This window comes from Homo sapiens, chromosome 8 (assembly GCF_000001405.40).
Source record: "Homo sapiens chromosome 8, GRCh38.p14 Primary Assembly".
Classification (NCBI taxonomy): domain Eukaryota; kingdom Metazoa; phylum Chordata; class Mammalia; order Primates; family Hominidae; genus Homo; species Homo sapiens.
In genome coordinates this window covers 63381257-63398015 of record NC_000008.11, presented here as the reverse complement: position 1 = coordinate 63398015, position 16759 = coordinate 63381257, and the positions used below count along the sequence as shown (strand labels likewise).

Below are 16759 nucleotides of genomic sequence, written 5' to 3'. Positions count from 1 at the left end.
TCACGTGGCATTCTCCATGGAAACATCTCTGTATCCAAATTTCAGCTTTATAGAAGAATACCAGTCATACTGGATTAGAATCCAACCAAAACCAGTATGACCTCATCTTAATTAATTACACTTACAATGACCCTATTTCCAAATAAGGTCACATTCTGAGGTACTGGAGGTTAGGACTTTAATGTATGAGTATAGGGGGACTAATTCAACCTATAACAGATCTGTAACCTCCCTATTGGCTTTTACTAATGCTCAAAACTCTCCCCTGAAAAAGGTTAATAAAGCTCACATTTCTTTCTAGATCCCTTGTGTCGGTCTCTATTCACTCTTTAACAGTAATTTTTTAAATTGTTTTCTTTACCTGATTTCTCTATTTTTTATTTCCCATTCTCTTCTTGATCTACTTCAAATAACTTTCTGACAGCTCCCACAAAGGTCAACAGTGGCCTCCTGCTGAAAAACACAATGCTTATTATAGACCTTCACTTCTTTGGCCCCTCAGAAGCACTTGGCAACATCAAGCATGCCCATCTTCTTGAAATATTCTCTTCTACTGGGGACAGTGTTACCACTGACTTACTTTTATCTTTCTACTCACTCTTTCACTTTCTTTGCAAACTATTCATCATCTGTGCAGCCTATAAGCAAGTCTACAATCCTTGCTCCTAAATCCTCTCTGTTTTGCACACTACACTCCCCTCCCAGGGTACCCTGAATGCCTATGGACTCAATTACCACTCAGAAGTTGGTATCTCCAGCTCTCATCTCTCCTCTCACTGCCAGACCTGTGAATCCTACTCCCCATTGGCTTCTTATTGAAGGTTCTATACTTTCCTGAACCTCACATTACTAAAATTAAACACAAAATCCTTACTCCATCACCACCACTAATAGAGCAGTCCTCCTCTTGTGTTCCTGACTATAATAGGTTAAAGTATAATGCAGACTTGACTGGAGGACCACATGCCAAAGTTTTTACATCTTCCTTTAACTTCATGTTGTTCTCCGATTACTTGGGTCTAAAAGAATGTATTAAGCACTTACAGTTGTGATTATTCAAAATTTAATTTATAATCTCAGTTCTCACACAAGAAATTACAATCTAATTGACAGCTATCATTTGAAATAATTTAAAGGAAATCAAAACAAGCTTTTGATTTCTGTGTGTTCACTGTTAAGCATTTTACATGTAAAGTTTCATTGACTCTTAATAATTCTATAAGGTAATTTTATCTATTTACATTTTGCAAATAAGGACACTATATTTAGAGAAATTAGCAACTCCCTCAAGATGACCTAGAGAGCAAATAATGAAGACTTGTTTTAACCCAAATCAGAATCTGAGCCCTTATTCACACCTAAGTTGTGATCAAGTTCCTACTATATATTGAAGTCATCCAGAGAAAGCAGAAAACTGCATTTATTCTTGGTTTTGAGGAATTTGAGAAAGCATGGATAGAGAAGTGAACAAATCATGCTATCTGAGCAAGGTGTGGATTAAAATGACCCTGACATAAGACAGGGACAGCGGAATCCATTTCAGCAGCCCAGAGGCCCTGTTAAGGACTATTATATAAAGGTGAGCATGTAAGCTAGGGTCATCAGATGGAGTTTCTTGAATGCCAGGCTGAGAAGTTAAAACTTGAAATTCTAAGCAACAGGAAGTCAATAGCGAAAGCACAATGCTTTTGAAAAGAGTACAATAATACACTCTGGTTTTGCTTCCACTGTCTTTTGTGATAGCACACAAATCTCTAATAGCCATTTTTGGTTCAGATATACATTGAGCCATTAACTGTGAGAACATAAATTCTTCCTTCTTGAGTTAAAATTGATCATTTATGGGTAGGCACAATAATGTAATCCCAGCAACCAACACGCATAAGAATGGTTAGAATTTTAAGAGTAGATGTGAAGGTACTTGATATTACACAAATCATTTAAAAAATGTGCTTCACCAGACCCAGTTTTTCTCCATCAAAGATCTATACCAGAAATTAACCTGAAGAATGAAACACAGGAATGGCACCACAGTTCTAGGAGATGATAATAATACATTCCTTGTGATGACTGTTCATATCAGGTTCCAAAATGCCTTATTTTTTCAGCAGGGTTGACATGTCAAGAGATGAATTTGTTGACCCACAGGAAGGCTGAAGTCATTTATAGATTAAAAATACTTAAGATGGGCCAGTTTGCTAAGAGCTCCTTGATTTACTATGGTGTTATAACCCAATAAACCCATCTTAAGTTGAAAATATTGAAAGTTGAAAATGCTCTCAATGCACCCAACCTACTAAACATCACAGCTTAGCCTAGCCCATCTTGAATGTGCTCAGAACACACATTAGCTTACAGTTGGGCAAAATCATCTAATACAAAGCTTAGTTTATAATACAGTGTTTAATATATCATGTAATTTACTGGATACTGCACTGAAAGTGAAAAACGGAATCGTTATAGGCGTAATCAAAGTACAGTTTCTACTGAATGCATGTCACTTTCATACATGGTAAAGTCAGTAAATTGCAAGTGGAACCATCATAAGTTGGGGACCATCTGTATATGTAGCAAAACAGTCCCTAACTTCACAAAGCTTACATACAGTCTTTGGGGGAAGACAAATACTAACCAAATAACCACAAGCTCAAATTTATATTGACAAGGACTTAAATAATTCACTTCAATGTGACATGTGAGATCAATTAAAATCTGTTTTGGTTTTGCATGCCATAGGCCCTGATATACATCTTGGAATTCTTGCAGTACATGGGCGGTTTGCGTAGGTCCTCAGGCAAGTTATTTATTTTTGCAAAGGTTCAGTTTCCTCATATGTAAAATGAGAGTAATAATAACAAATACGGATTTTGATGAGGATAAGTGAGGTAACACGTGAAAATGCTTAGCATTATGCCTAATATGTAGTGAATATTAAAACATGTTAGCTATTGTTACTCTTCCAGAAGTGCCTCTTATGAATCTGCATCTTTCATGCTAGGGGATACAGAATCTGATTAGTCAAATAGTTCTTATCTGCAACAGTGTCAACAACGTTTTGTGGTAGCAATAAATGTTTACTAAACACCTCTTACAGGCAAATTATTGTGTAATATTCTGAAGGTAGTTGAGGAAGATAGCAGCTTTTATTAAGTAAGGGAAATGGCAATAAGGATATCGAGTGACATAGCCATGGATATGGGAATGAGGTGGGAGGTGGACATGGTGAGTATGGCTGAGGATGGGCCAGCCAGCCAGAGGATGATGTACTTGGGAACACTGGGATGATGGTTATGTCATCAGCAGAGAGCCTTATCTGGATTCTGAGGCATGAGAGGATGAACAAACAGGTAACATTTCAATTTCACCTCAGCTTCTTGGTGGGAAGAGCATCCTAACCAATATTTTACTGAGTCAGCCTAGAGAAGAAAATGTTTAAAAGACACATGTTTCAGGAAATGTTTCTGTTGAAAACACTATGGCAGTGATCATACTAGCTGCTTGAAACTGACTTCAATACAAGATGCATGTGAGAGATAAAAGGCAGTCCTATGTCCCAAGTGGTTACGATTTCCTTACATCTCAGAGTTATGGTTTTAAAAGTCTCAATCTGAAAACTTACATCCACACAAAAACCTGCACATGAATGTTTACAGCCGCTTTATGCATACTTGCCAAAGCCTGAAATCAACCAAGATGTCCTTGAATAGGTGAATAGAAATAGGTGAAGACGAATTTGAAGATGAGTGAGTTAAGACATGGAGGGACCTTAAATGCATATTGCTAAGTGGAAGGGGCCAATCTGAAATGGATAGATACTGTAGTATTTCAACTATATGACATTCTAGAAAAGGCAAAACTATGAAGACAGTACAAAGATCAGAAGTTTCTAGGGCTTTAACAGGAAGGAGGGATGAGTAGGTGAAGCACAGGGGAGTTTTAAGGCAGTGAAACTATTCTGTGTGATACTCTAATAGTGGATACATGTCTTGATAAATTTGTCAAAACCTGCAGAACTTGCAACACCAAGAGTGAACCCTAATGTAATCTGTGGACTTCAGCCGATAATGATGTGTCAATGCTGGTTCATTGATTGTAACAAATGTCCCACTCTGGTGTGGGATGTTGAAACTAGAGGGGGTGGCTGTGCGTATAGGGCAGGGGGCATCAGCATATGTTAACTCTGTGTGCTTTCCACCTAAAAACCTAAAACTGTAGGTTCTGTAAACCTAAAACTGTAAACCTAAAACTGCCCAAATAGATAATGTCTATTAATTGAAAAAAAAGACTCAGTGGATAGACACTGTGTAGGCAGGTGATAAGTATGGAGGGAGACTTGTTTTTCCTTGTTTACCCTTTCAACATGTTGGATTTTACATCTTGACAATATCGCCTATACAGTAAATAAATGTTTAAGAAATTAAAAGGTAAAAATGAAAATTCATATAAAAGATATTTGTTTAAAGTTTACAAGCACAGATGGTCCCTTGACTTAGGATGGTTTGACTTACAAGTTTTCTACTTCATCACGGGTTTATTGTGGTAAAAAATGTATTTTTTACTTCCCATATTTTCAATTTAGGAAGGGTTTATCAGAATGTAGCATCACCATAAGTTGAGGAGCATTTGTAATTCAATAATACTTAGTCATATACGTGGAAAACCAGATTGGTAATCCTGAAGCAGCTTTTAATTGTTAACCCATTTCAGCACTCAGGGAACAGATACAGGCACATGAAATACATTGCCCCAAATCACACAGCAGTGTGCTAGAAGCACATTGATCTGACCAGGACCACATTTCCTATTTTTCCTCCTGTTATTTTGTAACGCAGAAAGAATAACGGTTTCAAGTAAGTTCTAACCTGCTACAAAGGTCATACAGTCAGCACCACAGACTGTTCAAAATTAATAAACCTGGAACAAGCTATGTGGTTTAGAAATTATAATTGACCTTTACACCTGATCACTGACCTCTGCGTGGCGGTCAGGCCATATCATTCAGCCAGGTGAAAGGTTTAAAGGTAATTCCATCATACTTCCAATATTCCAATAACACAGCACAAGAATACACTCTCAGAAATTGAGAGGCTTTTTAGTTCAAGTTTCCAGATAAGGAAATCGATACTAGAAGTGAAGGTGAAGGGTAACAGTAATAGCTAATATTTATTGAGAACAATGTGAGAGCCACTGTCCTAATCACTGTTTAAGTATTAGCTCATTCAACCCACGTGCCACCCTTAAGTGCAGCTGTTGTTCCCATTTTATAGAACATACCCAGAGATAAAGTAACTTGTCAAGGTCACCCAGAAATTGAGTCAATGTAGAAAACTCTGGCAAATTGCATCCACTTAGTAGAGAATGCATCTGCCTATACATCCTCCCATGCATTCAGATTTCAAAACAGAGGCCACAGCTATCAGCAGGGTTGTGAGACGTTGTGGCAGGGAAGCTCAGTGGTTTAAAGTATTCTGGGGAAGCAGTCTGAAGATTTTGTTTAATTCAGAAGTCTAGCTTTCATGGAGCATTAGAGTCTGCAAGGAGGTACGAGTGGGAAATAGTCGTCGTTGCCTTAGAAGCCGGGATCAGAATCTCAGGCACCAATCCCACGTGGGAGCACATCGTTACTGTGACCAGTGTGCTGCAGATTCTCAGGCCCCATTCTCAGGATTAATGGAGAAATCTTAGGGATTTCTCCGTAGAATACTCCTCAGAGCAGTGATTCTCAATGTGTGTTCTCCAAACTGCAACCTCAGCATCACCTGAGAACTTGTTAAAAATGCTGATTCTCAGCCCCTATCTCAGACCTACTGAATCGAAACTGAGCTCTGTGTTTGAACAAGGAAGTATTCTGAGTGATTTTGATCTATGCCCAAGTTTGAGAACTACCGCCCTACGAGACCCCAATATTCCATCAGTGTCCTCTTTCCTGAGTGCCCTACTTGATAGCAATTGTCTGAGTATTCTTGGAAGCACTTGAGCTTTCTGTAGGACACCCACCTGTGGCAATAGCGCATAAACAGAGTGAAGGTGCGAGGGGAGGAGACCTGGGGCTCTGATTTCCATTCCCTGTTCTATTTTGAAAGAAAAGAGAGAATGTTGATTTCTCTTCCTTTGAAAATGCCAAAGGCAAACTAAATCATCAAGATCCTTTTTGAAGGAAATGAATCACTGTGGAAAAATCAAACTTAAAGTGATTAATTCCACTCAAACCCCAAGTCACCCCAGTAGCCTTGGCCGTTTTTGGCATGGTAAAAATTCAGCTAAATCAAATGGAGCCCAACGCCTGTGTGGGCTGATATTGCCAAATCTCCCTCAGGCATCGTTTACAAACCAAGGACAGGAAATCTCAAGGAACCTTCAGAACCTCCCTTTCTCCCTCTTCCGAGTAAACTGAACGTTAAGAGGACATGCAAGTGACTGTTCTAAGTGTCTCTTACTTCTGCTCAGAATACAGGAAGCTGCGGATGCTTCTGCTGTGGACTAAAGGAAACGGTTTCTGTAATCGCGGTTCCACAGAGCATTGCGTTCTTCACACTCCCTCTTGTGGCTGCTCAGAGATAATGCAACCAGGAAAGGCCTTAGACTGCATATTAAAGCCACACTTAACGGAATTAGAAATCTAAGAATACAGGATTTGGGAAGCTTGTCTTTCTATATATTATGTTTGCTTTGGGCCTTGTGGAAATCTATACAGCTATTTGTTCTTGGAGGATTGTGAGTGCATGTCCCAAATAAAGCTGTTGTGTAAAAAATGGCAAATAAATATTAGCTTTTTGTTTAAAGAATTTAAAACAATTAAGAGGGCTGCAAGTACAGGGTATAACTGAATTACTGTTTGCTTGTTGCTGTGTTTACACAGGCAAAGCAAAGGACAAGAGAGAGTTAGATCATTTGCAGGATTATTCATTAGTAAAACCAAAAACAAGTTGTAAAAGAAAAAATGGGTGCATACATGTATGTATTGGCATCGTGTATGTTCAGTGTACATCCGGCACTGCCCCCAGAACAAATTTCTTCCTACCGTTGGTAGGTTCTGAAATTTGGCATCCTCCACGTGACTATCCTACACCTAGCAGGGAGAAGGTGATGACTTCCTTGGCTCCCCCAAGGGATGTGTTACTGCCCTCCCCATAACCCTCCATTCTTCACCTGAAAACATTTTCCCTTTCTCATTAACCTCTGAGAATTCAAAGCCTTCCCTAAGATGTGTGTGAGTTTAGCATAGCTGTATTCCTGCTGGCTTCTCTTCTAGGCTTTAGTAAAGAAGCCTACCTAAGGTTATAAGCTCCTAATAGAAAGAAACAGATCCATTTCCACTGTGCAGTGTCTAGCCAATCACCTCTACAAAATATATTAATGAAAGTTTCATAACGAGAAGATTACATTCATTATTCAGTTTTTCTAATTGTCTAGAAATAAAAATGGATTGTCAGAAGGTAGGCAAAAATTTCCAGAACAAGGAAATATAGGGATGGGTGAGGGGATTAAGAAGCATGTAAGACTTGGGCCACAGCTTCACAACCTTGGCACTGATGACAATGGAGTGGGATAATTCTTTGTCGTGGGGGCTGTCCTGTGCACTGCAGGGTGTTCAGCAGCATTCCTGGACTCAACCAGCTACCTGCCAGTTTTCACTGCCCCAAATTGTGACAACCAAAAATGTCTCCCAGAATTGCCAAATGTCCTCTGATGACAAAATTACTCTCAATTATGAGCTGTTGATTTAGGAGGACAGTGTTGGTAGTAGAATTGTTAAACATTGCAATGAGTAGACCAAGCTGAGGTGGAAGAGTTCTGGCTGTGAGGCACTCACTGTGAGGTAAAACAGACAGAATGGACTTTGGAGTTAGTAAGACAAGGGTTTGAATCAAAGGATGTGGCTGTAGGCCTCTTTTTTTTTTCTAAGCCTCGTTTTACATGTTAAAATAATAATGGTATAACAATAGTAGTAGTAATAATAATGCTGTGGAGAAGTTAAATGAAATAAAGTATCTAAAGGATCAAAGAACATTGCCTAGTATATAACAATGTTGGTATACATCAGTGTCCTTTTCTCATCTCCAGAGGTCTCCAGAAATAAAACATAATTTCTTTGAGATAGTTTAAAAGAGCCTTGGAGCGTGACCTTAGGGGGGGTGGAAAGAGCCCTGTCCTTGAGATTCCTGGCAAATAATGTCACTCTCGCTTCCTTCTGAAAAACTGTTTCTGCATTGCAGGCTGTGCTCATTCAGAACAAAGTGCCGGGCAGAAATGTTAACTCTCCAGATAAGTGATCACTCTCCGGCAGCAAAGCAGATGAGTCCATTCCAAAAATGGAAATACAGATAGCCCTTAAATGCCCAGTTTTGTCTCTATTTTTCCAATCAGAAAAGTATAAAATCTTTCTTTTCCTATATGGAGTAAAATCTGTGTACTTTGCGTCAAAGAAATCTTCTTGGTGAATTTGATGCAGAAGAGATTTTTGCAATGTTATTTATGTCTGATACATGTCTCTTCTTGAAATGATGAATGTTGTGTGTTCAGATTAATCCTAAAATGCTTGATGGAAACCTAGAAACATCTTCATTGCCCCTACTGTTTATTACAATTTTAAGTAAATCATTTGTTTATATCTTATATAAGTTGCCTAAAAATAAAAAGACATATTAAAACTGGCTTAAAATACCTATAGATTAACAATCATGGCATTAGCAATTTATTCTTGAATTTCATCTGATTGAAGATTCATTCTCAGCCAGGCACAGTGGCTCATGCCTGTAATCCCAGCACTTTGGGAGGCCGAGGAGGGCGGATCACGAGGTCAGGAGATTGAGACCATCCTGGCTAACATGGTGAAACCCCGTCTCTACTAAAAATTAAAAAAAAAAAAAAAAAAAATTAGCCGAGTATGGTAGTCCCAGCTACTCGGGAGGCTGAGGCAGGAGAATGATGTGAACCCGGGAGGCAGAGCTTGCAGTGAGCCGAGATCACACCACTGCACTCCAGACTGGGCGACAGAGTGACACTGTCTCAAAAAAAAAAAAAAAAAGATTCATTCTCCTCTTCCCAGAATCCCTGTACTCTAAGCTGTTCACATTTCTGATTTTCCCCTTTCTCTATAACGTTCAGGAGCCCTCATTTGAAAATGGTGAGCCTGGTAAAGGATTAAAATGCCCCATTTTTTAAGTATTTTCCATGTCATCACTCTTACCACAAATATTTCTTAGGTGGAATCATATAAAATTATGAATATTTGACTTTTTGACCTACAAAAATGAGTTCATATGGTTCAAACTAAAACTCTCCCTTTACCTTTCATTATGAAAATTCTGCTTATCCAATGTCACTTTCCCTGTTTTCCACAATCACTCCCAATGCAAAATGATCTCCCCTTCCTAATGATACCTACTTTGCAATAGAACTGTCGTTGCTCCCTCCTTACATAACTTTTGGACGTGTTTCCTATGAGAGAGCACAAACTGCAGGCTTTAGCCGGGAGAACTGGATTTGAATCCCATCTCTTCCACGTACTTTTTGGGTGACCTTCAGTGAGATATTTGGCCTTCCTAAGTCTCAGTTTCCACATTCATTAAACAGTTGTGTTGAGCATGAGGATAATGGATTCAGTATTTTACATAATGTCAACTAAATAATAAGTTCTCAGAAAAGGTTCATTTTAAAAAACAATTAGCAGTAGTAATGAACTTCTGAGGCCATTTCCTATTTCTGCATCCTCCCATGGTTCTTTGCATGCCAGAGGTGTCCTACACATAATAAAAACAGAAACAACAATATGATAACTTACTTTTGTTAGGCACTTACTCTGCCTCATACTAAGCTGAATATTTTTCTTGCATTGCCTCATGTAATCCTCACAGCAATCTTATGAAGTAGATGCTGTTATGATCATTTTTAGAGGTGATTCAAGATGATCACTTTAGAGGTGAGACAAAGAGGGTTTAGATAAATGGACCAAGGCCACACCTATGAAGGATTCAAGACTGGAACCAAGGCCATGTGACATTGGAATACATAATGTCCTAGATGTTTTGGAAAGGCCTCAAAGCCTTCTTCCAACTTTAAAGAGTCCATGATTCAAATATGATATTCTTTAAATATCGATTGCTATTTTTATTCACAAAAAATAATCACTCATCCCATTTTTTTCTTTGTCCCATTTACTGTCTAATATTTCATTTCTTTTTTTTGAGACAGAGTTTCAATCTTGTTGCCCAGGCTGGAGTGCAATGGCGTGATCTCGGTTCACTGCAACCTCCGCCTCCCAGGTTCAAGCAATTCTCCCGCCTCAGCCTCCCTAGTAGCTGGGATTACAGGCATGCGCCACCACGCCCAGTTAATTTTGTATTTTGAGTAGAGATGGGGTTTCACCATGTTGGCCAGACTGCTCTCAAACTCCCAACCTCAGGTGATCCGCCTGCCTCGGCCTCCCAAAGTGCTGGGATTACAGGCATGAGCCACCGTGCCCAGCCTGCTCATTTCAGTTTTAAGTATCTAGAGATTTTGTTAACACAGCTGGGTGGTACTAAGTTGTGGTTAAAATTAATAGTTTAGTTCAATTCAACAACTTATCTGCTGTGTGCAAGATACCAGGTGGGGCCCTCCATACATATATAGGAATACCATACACTCCTTTGTTCAAAGAATTCATAGCTGTATCATTTTAAAAAAAAATTGAACTTGAAATAACTCATTTCAATTTGAACTTGAAACACATTCATTCCTTCAACAAACAGATTTAGAGCCACTACCTGCCAAGCCCATGCAGGGAGCTGGGACAAGGTTAAACACATTCAGGCTGGCTCTGATCCATGAATTGTACAATTTAGAATACATGATAGATTTTGTGAGAAGAGAAAAAAAAAACAGTCTCACAGTTTAGAGAGTTTATTGAGGATGAGGACCACTGTAATTGAAGAAAGCCTCTTAAATGAGGGTGGAATTTGACTCTGGTCTTCCATAAAGGATGGTAAAATACCATTTAGTACTTAATTCCCAAAGCAATCAACAAAGGCCTATGATGATGGTACTATTAATTTCCTATTGGTTGTAAAAGTTTCCAATGGAAAATAACTACACTAACAAAATATGCATTCATATTCACATGAACCTTAACATTTTAAGCTTAATACTTCTATTTCATTCCCTGAAAGAACTAAGGTAAAAGTAACATCAAATTTGAAAATATTCTTTACAAAGATTCCTATAAAATAATGTTAAAAAACCAAAGTCCTGCACTATAGTCAAAATTGGGGTGTTTTCCTTTCAATTCAAAACCTCAATTTTCAGACCTTAATATCTTAGACTTTTCAATCACAGGCAGTGGGAAGTTGGTTACAGAGAACAGTTACTATAAAGAAGGAGACTGCTGATAGCATACTTCTGAAGTACAACTGCTGCATGTCGTCTTAAAATGGTTAAGTAAGCAATCCAAAGAAAAATATGTTGAGGGGTAAATTGCTAACTCAATCAAGATGAAACATGTAGGTAGGTCAAACTGTATTTTTTTTTTTCATTTCCTTTACTACTGGTAGATAGTGTAAGAAGCCCAGCTGTTTTTTTTTCTATATAATGGTCTAGAAGAGCTTTTCACAATGTAATTTACATAGTATCAGGGATTATCTTTTTATCTGCAAACTAAACAAGATGAAATTACGTCGGCACAAGTCTCTACAGACAAGGTATGTCAAAAAGATAAATTACATGATTTATATTTGCATTCCTTTGCATTTTTAATATTGTTGTATTCTTTGCAATTCTAATTATATTTGAATTTTAAATATTGAATTCATTTTTAATTTTTGTGGTAAAATTATGTGATATAATTAGGAATGGATGGACATGAGACACTTTGAGAATCTTTTCTTTTGCTTTAACTGCAATCAAAGACTTTTTTCCTTCCCATGGTAGTATCCCCAAGTACCCCCAAAGACCACTATCATAAAATTAAGCTCTAGCTGATTAATTTGGTACATCTTAGTATTATTCACAATTATTCTTGTCCTCCTCTGTAAGCAGATTAAAAACCTCCACCCTTATGAAGCCTCCTTCTAGGCAGAATATATCTTCTACCTCACTGTTAAGACCAGTTATGTCAATGGATGTTTTACAGATGTCGGCACAACCTCTTGTGCTCTTGCCTCCTGCCACAAGAACATATGTCCCAGAAAAGGGCCACTCCATCAGCCTAGGTCCAGAAATGAGAGGACACATGGACTGAACTTGAAGATGGCCCACAGCAGACCTGCAGTCAACTCTCAGCCTTTATGTAATGCGGGAAAGAAGGAAATGTGAATATTATAGACTACTAAAATTCTAAAGTTGTAACATAGCAAAATGATCGATACAATTAGCAGTGGCAATCAGTCTAGCATATTGTCATGCTATATGCATGCTATAAAACTATTGAACAAAAATATCACTATCCTATCATGGACACATTGGACTTTTCTTTTCTCCTTATGACTGCATCACGTGTGATGATCAGAAATGGAGTGAAGACAGAAAAATAAGAAAATTCAAGAATGTGCTACAGAGTGATCCTCTCCCTCTTAGAGCACCCACAGAAACCACTCATGGCTTCTCTGTCTGCATCCTCTCCACACAAACATATTCTTTAAGGTACCAGCCCCATATCACATACCTGTATGTCAGCCCATAATAGGCCTTACCTTAGAAGCCAAAGATCCATAACTACACAGTATTCATGTTGTATAATGTGGAGCAGCACCAAAAAATAAAGTGGCAGACAATAATGCCTATGACTAAAGTGACCCCTTGATCCCCTCCCAAAGCAGTCTCCATATCATAACTGTCAATTGTAAAAATAGTATGTATTTTATATATTCTCCCTAATAGGTAACTCTGTATTTTAAAATCTTAGGCTCCAAGTTTTAATCTACTTCGTCCCATCGGAGTACTTTTTTTCAATTTTCTCATTTACAAGGCCATTTTTATTTTTGCCTCACTCTGTGCTGATGGCCCCAGATCTACTCAGTCAGTTTCTTCTCTTCTATGATGTCTATATTCAGACACCTAGGAGATTGACAACTCCTAGAAATACCACTCACTCAACTGCTCCTTTCCCCTTCTTTCGTACTTGGGCATAAACTTTACTGTATCTTAAACACATCTTCCTAAATGCCTCACGACTATGATAAACTTGACATGCTTACAACTGAGGGGATCTTGTCCAAGTTTTGTTCACTTGCCAATTTTACAGAAAGTGCTGAAGTGACTGTGTGTGTATTTGTGTGTCTGTGCTTAAATCAAAATGTTAACTGCAGTTCTCTCTAGCTATTGAGATTTAGGTTGTTATTTCTCCCTCCTCCTACCTTATCTTTCTTTTCTGTTTTTCCTTTTACCTCTACCTCTACCTCTCTCTCCTCCTCTAATTCACACCTCATCTCTGGTTACAATATTTTCAATACACTTATAATGATGTTTTTATAATGGAAGTGGCTCACTTTCTGTTAGCATCCAAGTACCATGAAGCCCATAGCTGTCAGCACTTGAAAGTTTGATGCCTACCAACTCAGCTACTCATTTTCATCTTCCATGTCAGCTTGGCGCAATGTTTCCTAAGGCAGAAGGTTTGCCAGCTACAGCTCCCTCACACTACTTAAGGTCATGGTATGAAAATTTTCCCATCCAAATGTGGACATCACCTGTGTTAAGTGGATATAGTATTGGAGACCCTAAAATAAATCTGTATCACCAAATGTAAAAAGTAGGTATAAGAATCAATAAACAGTAGCTCTATTAAGCCTCCCAGGATAACCCAAACTTTCACTGTATAACTGATGAGAAGGATGTGACAACTGGTGTTCACCTGAAAGTGACTTATGAAAGTGTGTCAATGTCATCATGCAGTCATTCATCCAGTATATTTATTGAACACCTACCATGTGCTAGGTGGGTTGTGAATGCTCTTTAGAATGAAACTTTTGGTAACTGATAAAGGGTATTCATAAAAGAAAGTTTGAATGTATCCTTATGTCAAGGATACAGCAAATATGACCAAAGGAAAGAATATTCTTGCAGCATACTACAATTAACCTGGTTCATTTGAAAAGGGAAGACCAAACCCACCAGTTTGGGCTGGCAGTCTCCTTCAAGATAATCCATCTACCTTTATTCTGATTGAACTCAGTAGGGGTTTCTTTTCAAAATGTAAATATCTGTATTAAAGGGGTTTTTTTCTTGATAATATAGAATCTTTTTTAAAAAATGAAATTAAGTGTAGAGAGAGTGGAAGTCCCCTTATAATTTCAACCTCTAAATGTAAACACTGTTAACAATTTGCGATACACTGGTAGACTTTCTAAGTGTATTTATGAATACATTATTAATATATAGTTCTTCATAATATATATACTGTTCCATAATCTTCCAAATAACCTGCTGATTTTTTTAGGAAGAAAGCTTACTTCTTATGAAACTGAAACAATAAATAAGCAATATGGATATTTTGAGCCACTTAGCATCTCTCTTGGTATAAATAAATACATTTACATTGTTATTTAAAAGATAAAGTAAATTCAAAATCTAGAGTTTGATCTCCTCACAGGGAAATAATTTTTTAGAAAGCCTTAAGGATCAATAAAGTAACAAGTGGCAAGTTCCAATTGCTCTCCCATCTAAAAAAAATAATAAAATCAAATTTTCTGAGAGGATTCTGTGAAGATGGCAAAGTAGAAAACATCAGGAATCTGTCTTCCACCTACACAACAATTGCATTGGCAGAACCTGTCTGATGTAACTATTTTGGAACTCTGTAGTTTATTGAAGGATTGCAATTTTCAAGGAACATCTTGGATGATGTTTTAGTCTGCTCAGGCTGCTATAACAAAATACTTTAGACTTATCAAGAATAGAAATTTATACCTTATTGTTCTAGAGGCTGGTAAGTTCAAGATCAAGGCACCGGTGGTATCTAGTGAGGTCTGCTTCCTCATAAACCACACTTTTTCCTGTATTCTCATATGGTAGAAGGGACAAAAAAGTTCTCTCAGGCCTCTTTTATTAAAGGGCACTAATAAATAAGAGAACTAGGAGCCCTCATGATTTAATCACCCTATAAAGGTCCCACCTCTTAATACTATTGCATAGGTTTCAACATATGAATTTTGGGGAACACAGACATTCAGGTCATAGCAGATGATAATTACAGTTAGTTTTAGTCAATTTCACCAATTAGCACAGTAACAGCCATTCATAATCAACCCCCATCTCTGGCAGGCAGCCTTATGCGTATTCTAAGAGCAGCTTGCATGTAGCTAGAAGGAGTCACTGTGGGCAAAAGGCACCCAGTCTTCCAAATATTAGAGATCTGATCTCTGATTACTAATTTTTGTTTCTGCTCATAATAAGGCAGCCATTGTTGTTGCATCTCCTCTCATTATTTCAAGCCCCTCCCCTTCTGGCTGAAGTGACTTTCAGAAGATTTAAAGGGCTGGCACCCTCCTGCACCCTTCATTTTTCTCCTTGTCTTATTTGGGGAGCCAGAGAGTAAAGACTAATAATAATAATAATTCAAAAATGTATTAGTCCATTTTCACCTGCTATCAAGAATTACCCGAGAGTGGGAAATTTATAAAGAAAAGAAGTTTAATTGGATCACAGTTCAGCAAGCTTAAAGGGACACATGACTGGGAGGCCTTAGGGAACTTACAATCATGGTGGAAGGCAAAGGGGGAACAAGCACCTTCTTCACATGGTGGCAGGAATGACAGAGCAAGGGTGGAAGTGCCGCACTCTTTTAAACCATCGGACGTCTTGAGAACTAATTCACTAGCATGAGAACAATTAGGAAAACCTGGCCCCATAATCCAATCACCACCCACCAGGTCCCTCCCACAGCATGCAGAGAACAGCCCCTTTGGCTGCTTTCACTGGCTGGCATTGAGTGCTTGTGGCTTTTCCAGGAACATGGTAAAAACTGTCAATATATCTACCATTTTGGGGTCTGGAGGACAGTGACCCTCTTCACACAGCTTCCTGATGCAGTGCCCCAGTGGGGACTCTGTGTGGGGGCTCCAACTCCACACTTCCCCTCCACCCTGACCTAGCAGAGGTTCTCAATGTAAGCTCCAACTCTGCAGCAGACTTCTTCCTGCACATTCTCGTGTTTGCACCCACAGGCCCAACACCATATGGAAGCTGCCAAGGCTTGGGTCTTGCACCCTCTGAAGCCACAGCCTGAGCTGTCCCTTGGCACCTTTTAGCCATTGCTGCAGCTGGAGTGGCTGGGACACCAGGGCACCATGTCCTGAGGCCCCACAGAGCAGTGGGGCCCTAAGCCTAGCCAAAGAAACCATTTTTCCCTTCTAGGCCTCTGGGTCTGTGATGGGAGGAACTGCCTTGAAGATCTCTGAAATGACCCGAAGACATTTTTCCCATTGTCTTGGCTATTAACATTTGGCTCCTCTTTAGTTATATCAATTTTTGCTGTCAGCTTGAATTTCTTTCCTGAAAATGGGCTTTTCTTTTCTACTGCATGGTCAGGCTGCAAATTTTCCAAACTTGTACACTCTACTTTCCTTTTAAATATAAGTTTTATTTGCTTATTCAAATGAGCATAGGATTTTAGGAGCAGCCAGGCCACGTCTTGAATGTTTTGCTGCTTAGAAATTTCTTATGCTAGATGCCTTAAATTATCTCTCTCAAGTTCAAAGTTCCACAGGTCCCTAGAGCAGGGGCACAGTGCCACCAGTCTCTTTGCTAAAGCATAGCAAGAGTGACCTTTTCTCCAGTTCCCAAT

The 16759-nt window shown here is 38.7% G+C and overlaps 1 long non-coding RNA gene across 2 annotated transcripts in view, besides 2 other annotated features; it reads left to right on the top strand.

Annotated features, from left to right (window-relative positions):
• Positions 1-13191, top strand: part of LOC105375875 (uncharacterized) — a 33098-nt gene extending 19907 nt beyond the window's left edge. For both annotated transcript variants that reach the window (NR_188107.1, NR_188106.1), the window contains one exon: positions 12110-13191. This is a non-coding gene — a long non-coding RNA (uncharacterized LOC105375875). The remainder of the gene's footprint in view (positions 1-12109) is intronic.
• Positions 6218-6367: an enhancer, noted in NCBI's record as "active region_27454". NCBI's record gives its function as "activates an Ori minimal core promoter by ATAC-STARR-seq in GM12878 lymphoblastoid cells {active_cell/tissue: GM12878}" and the evidence as "EXISTENCE:reporter gene assay evidence [ECO:0000049][PMID:35858748]".
• Positions 6391-6685: an enhancer, noted in NCBI's record as "tiled region #7401; K562 Activating DNase unmatched - State 12:CtcfO, and HepG2 Activating DNase unmatched - State 12:CtcfO". NCBI's record gives its function as "activates a minimal TATA promoter and a strong SV40 promoter by Sharpr-MPRA in K562 cells, with weaker activity in HepG2 cells {active_cell/tissue: K562 | HepG2}" and the evidence as "EXISTENCE:reporter gene assay evidence [ECO:0000049][PMID:27701403]".
• Positions 13192-16759: the final 3568 nt, after the last annotated feature.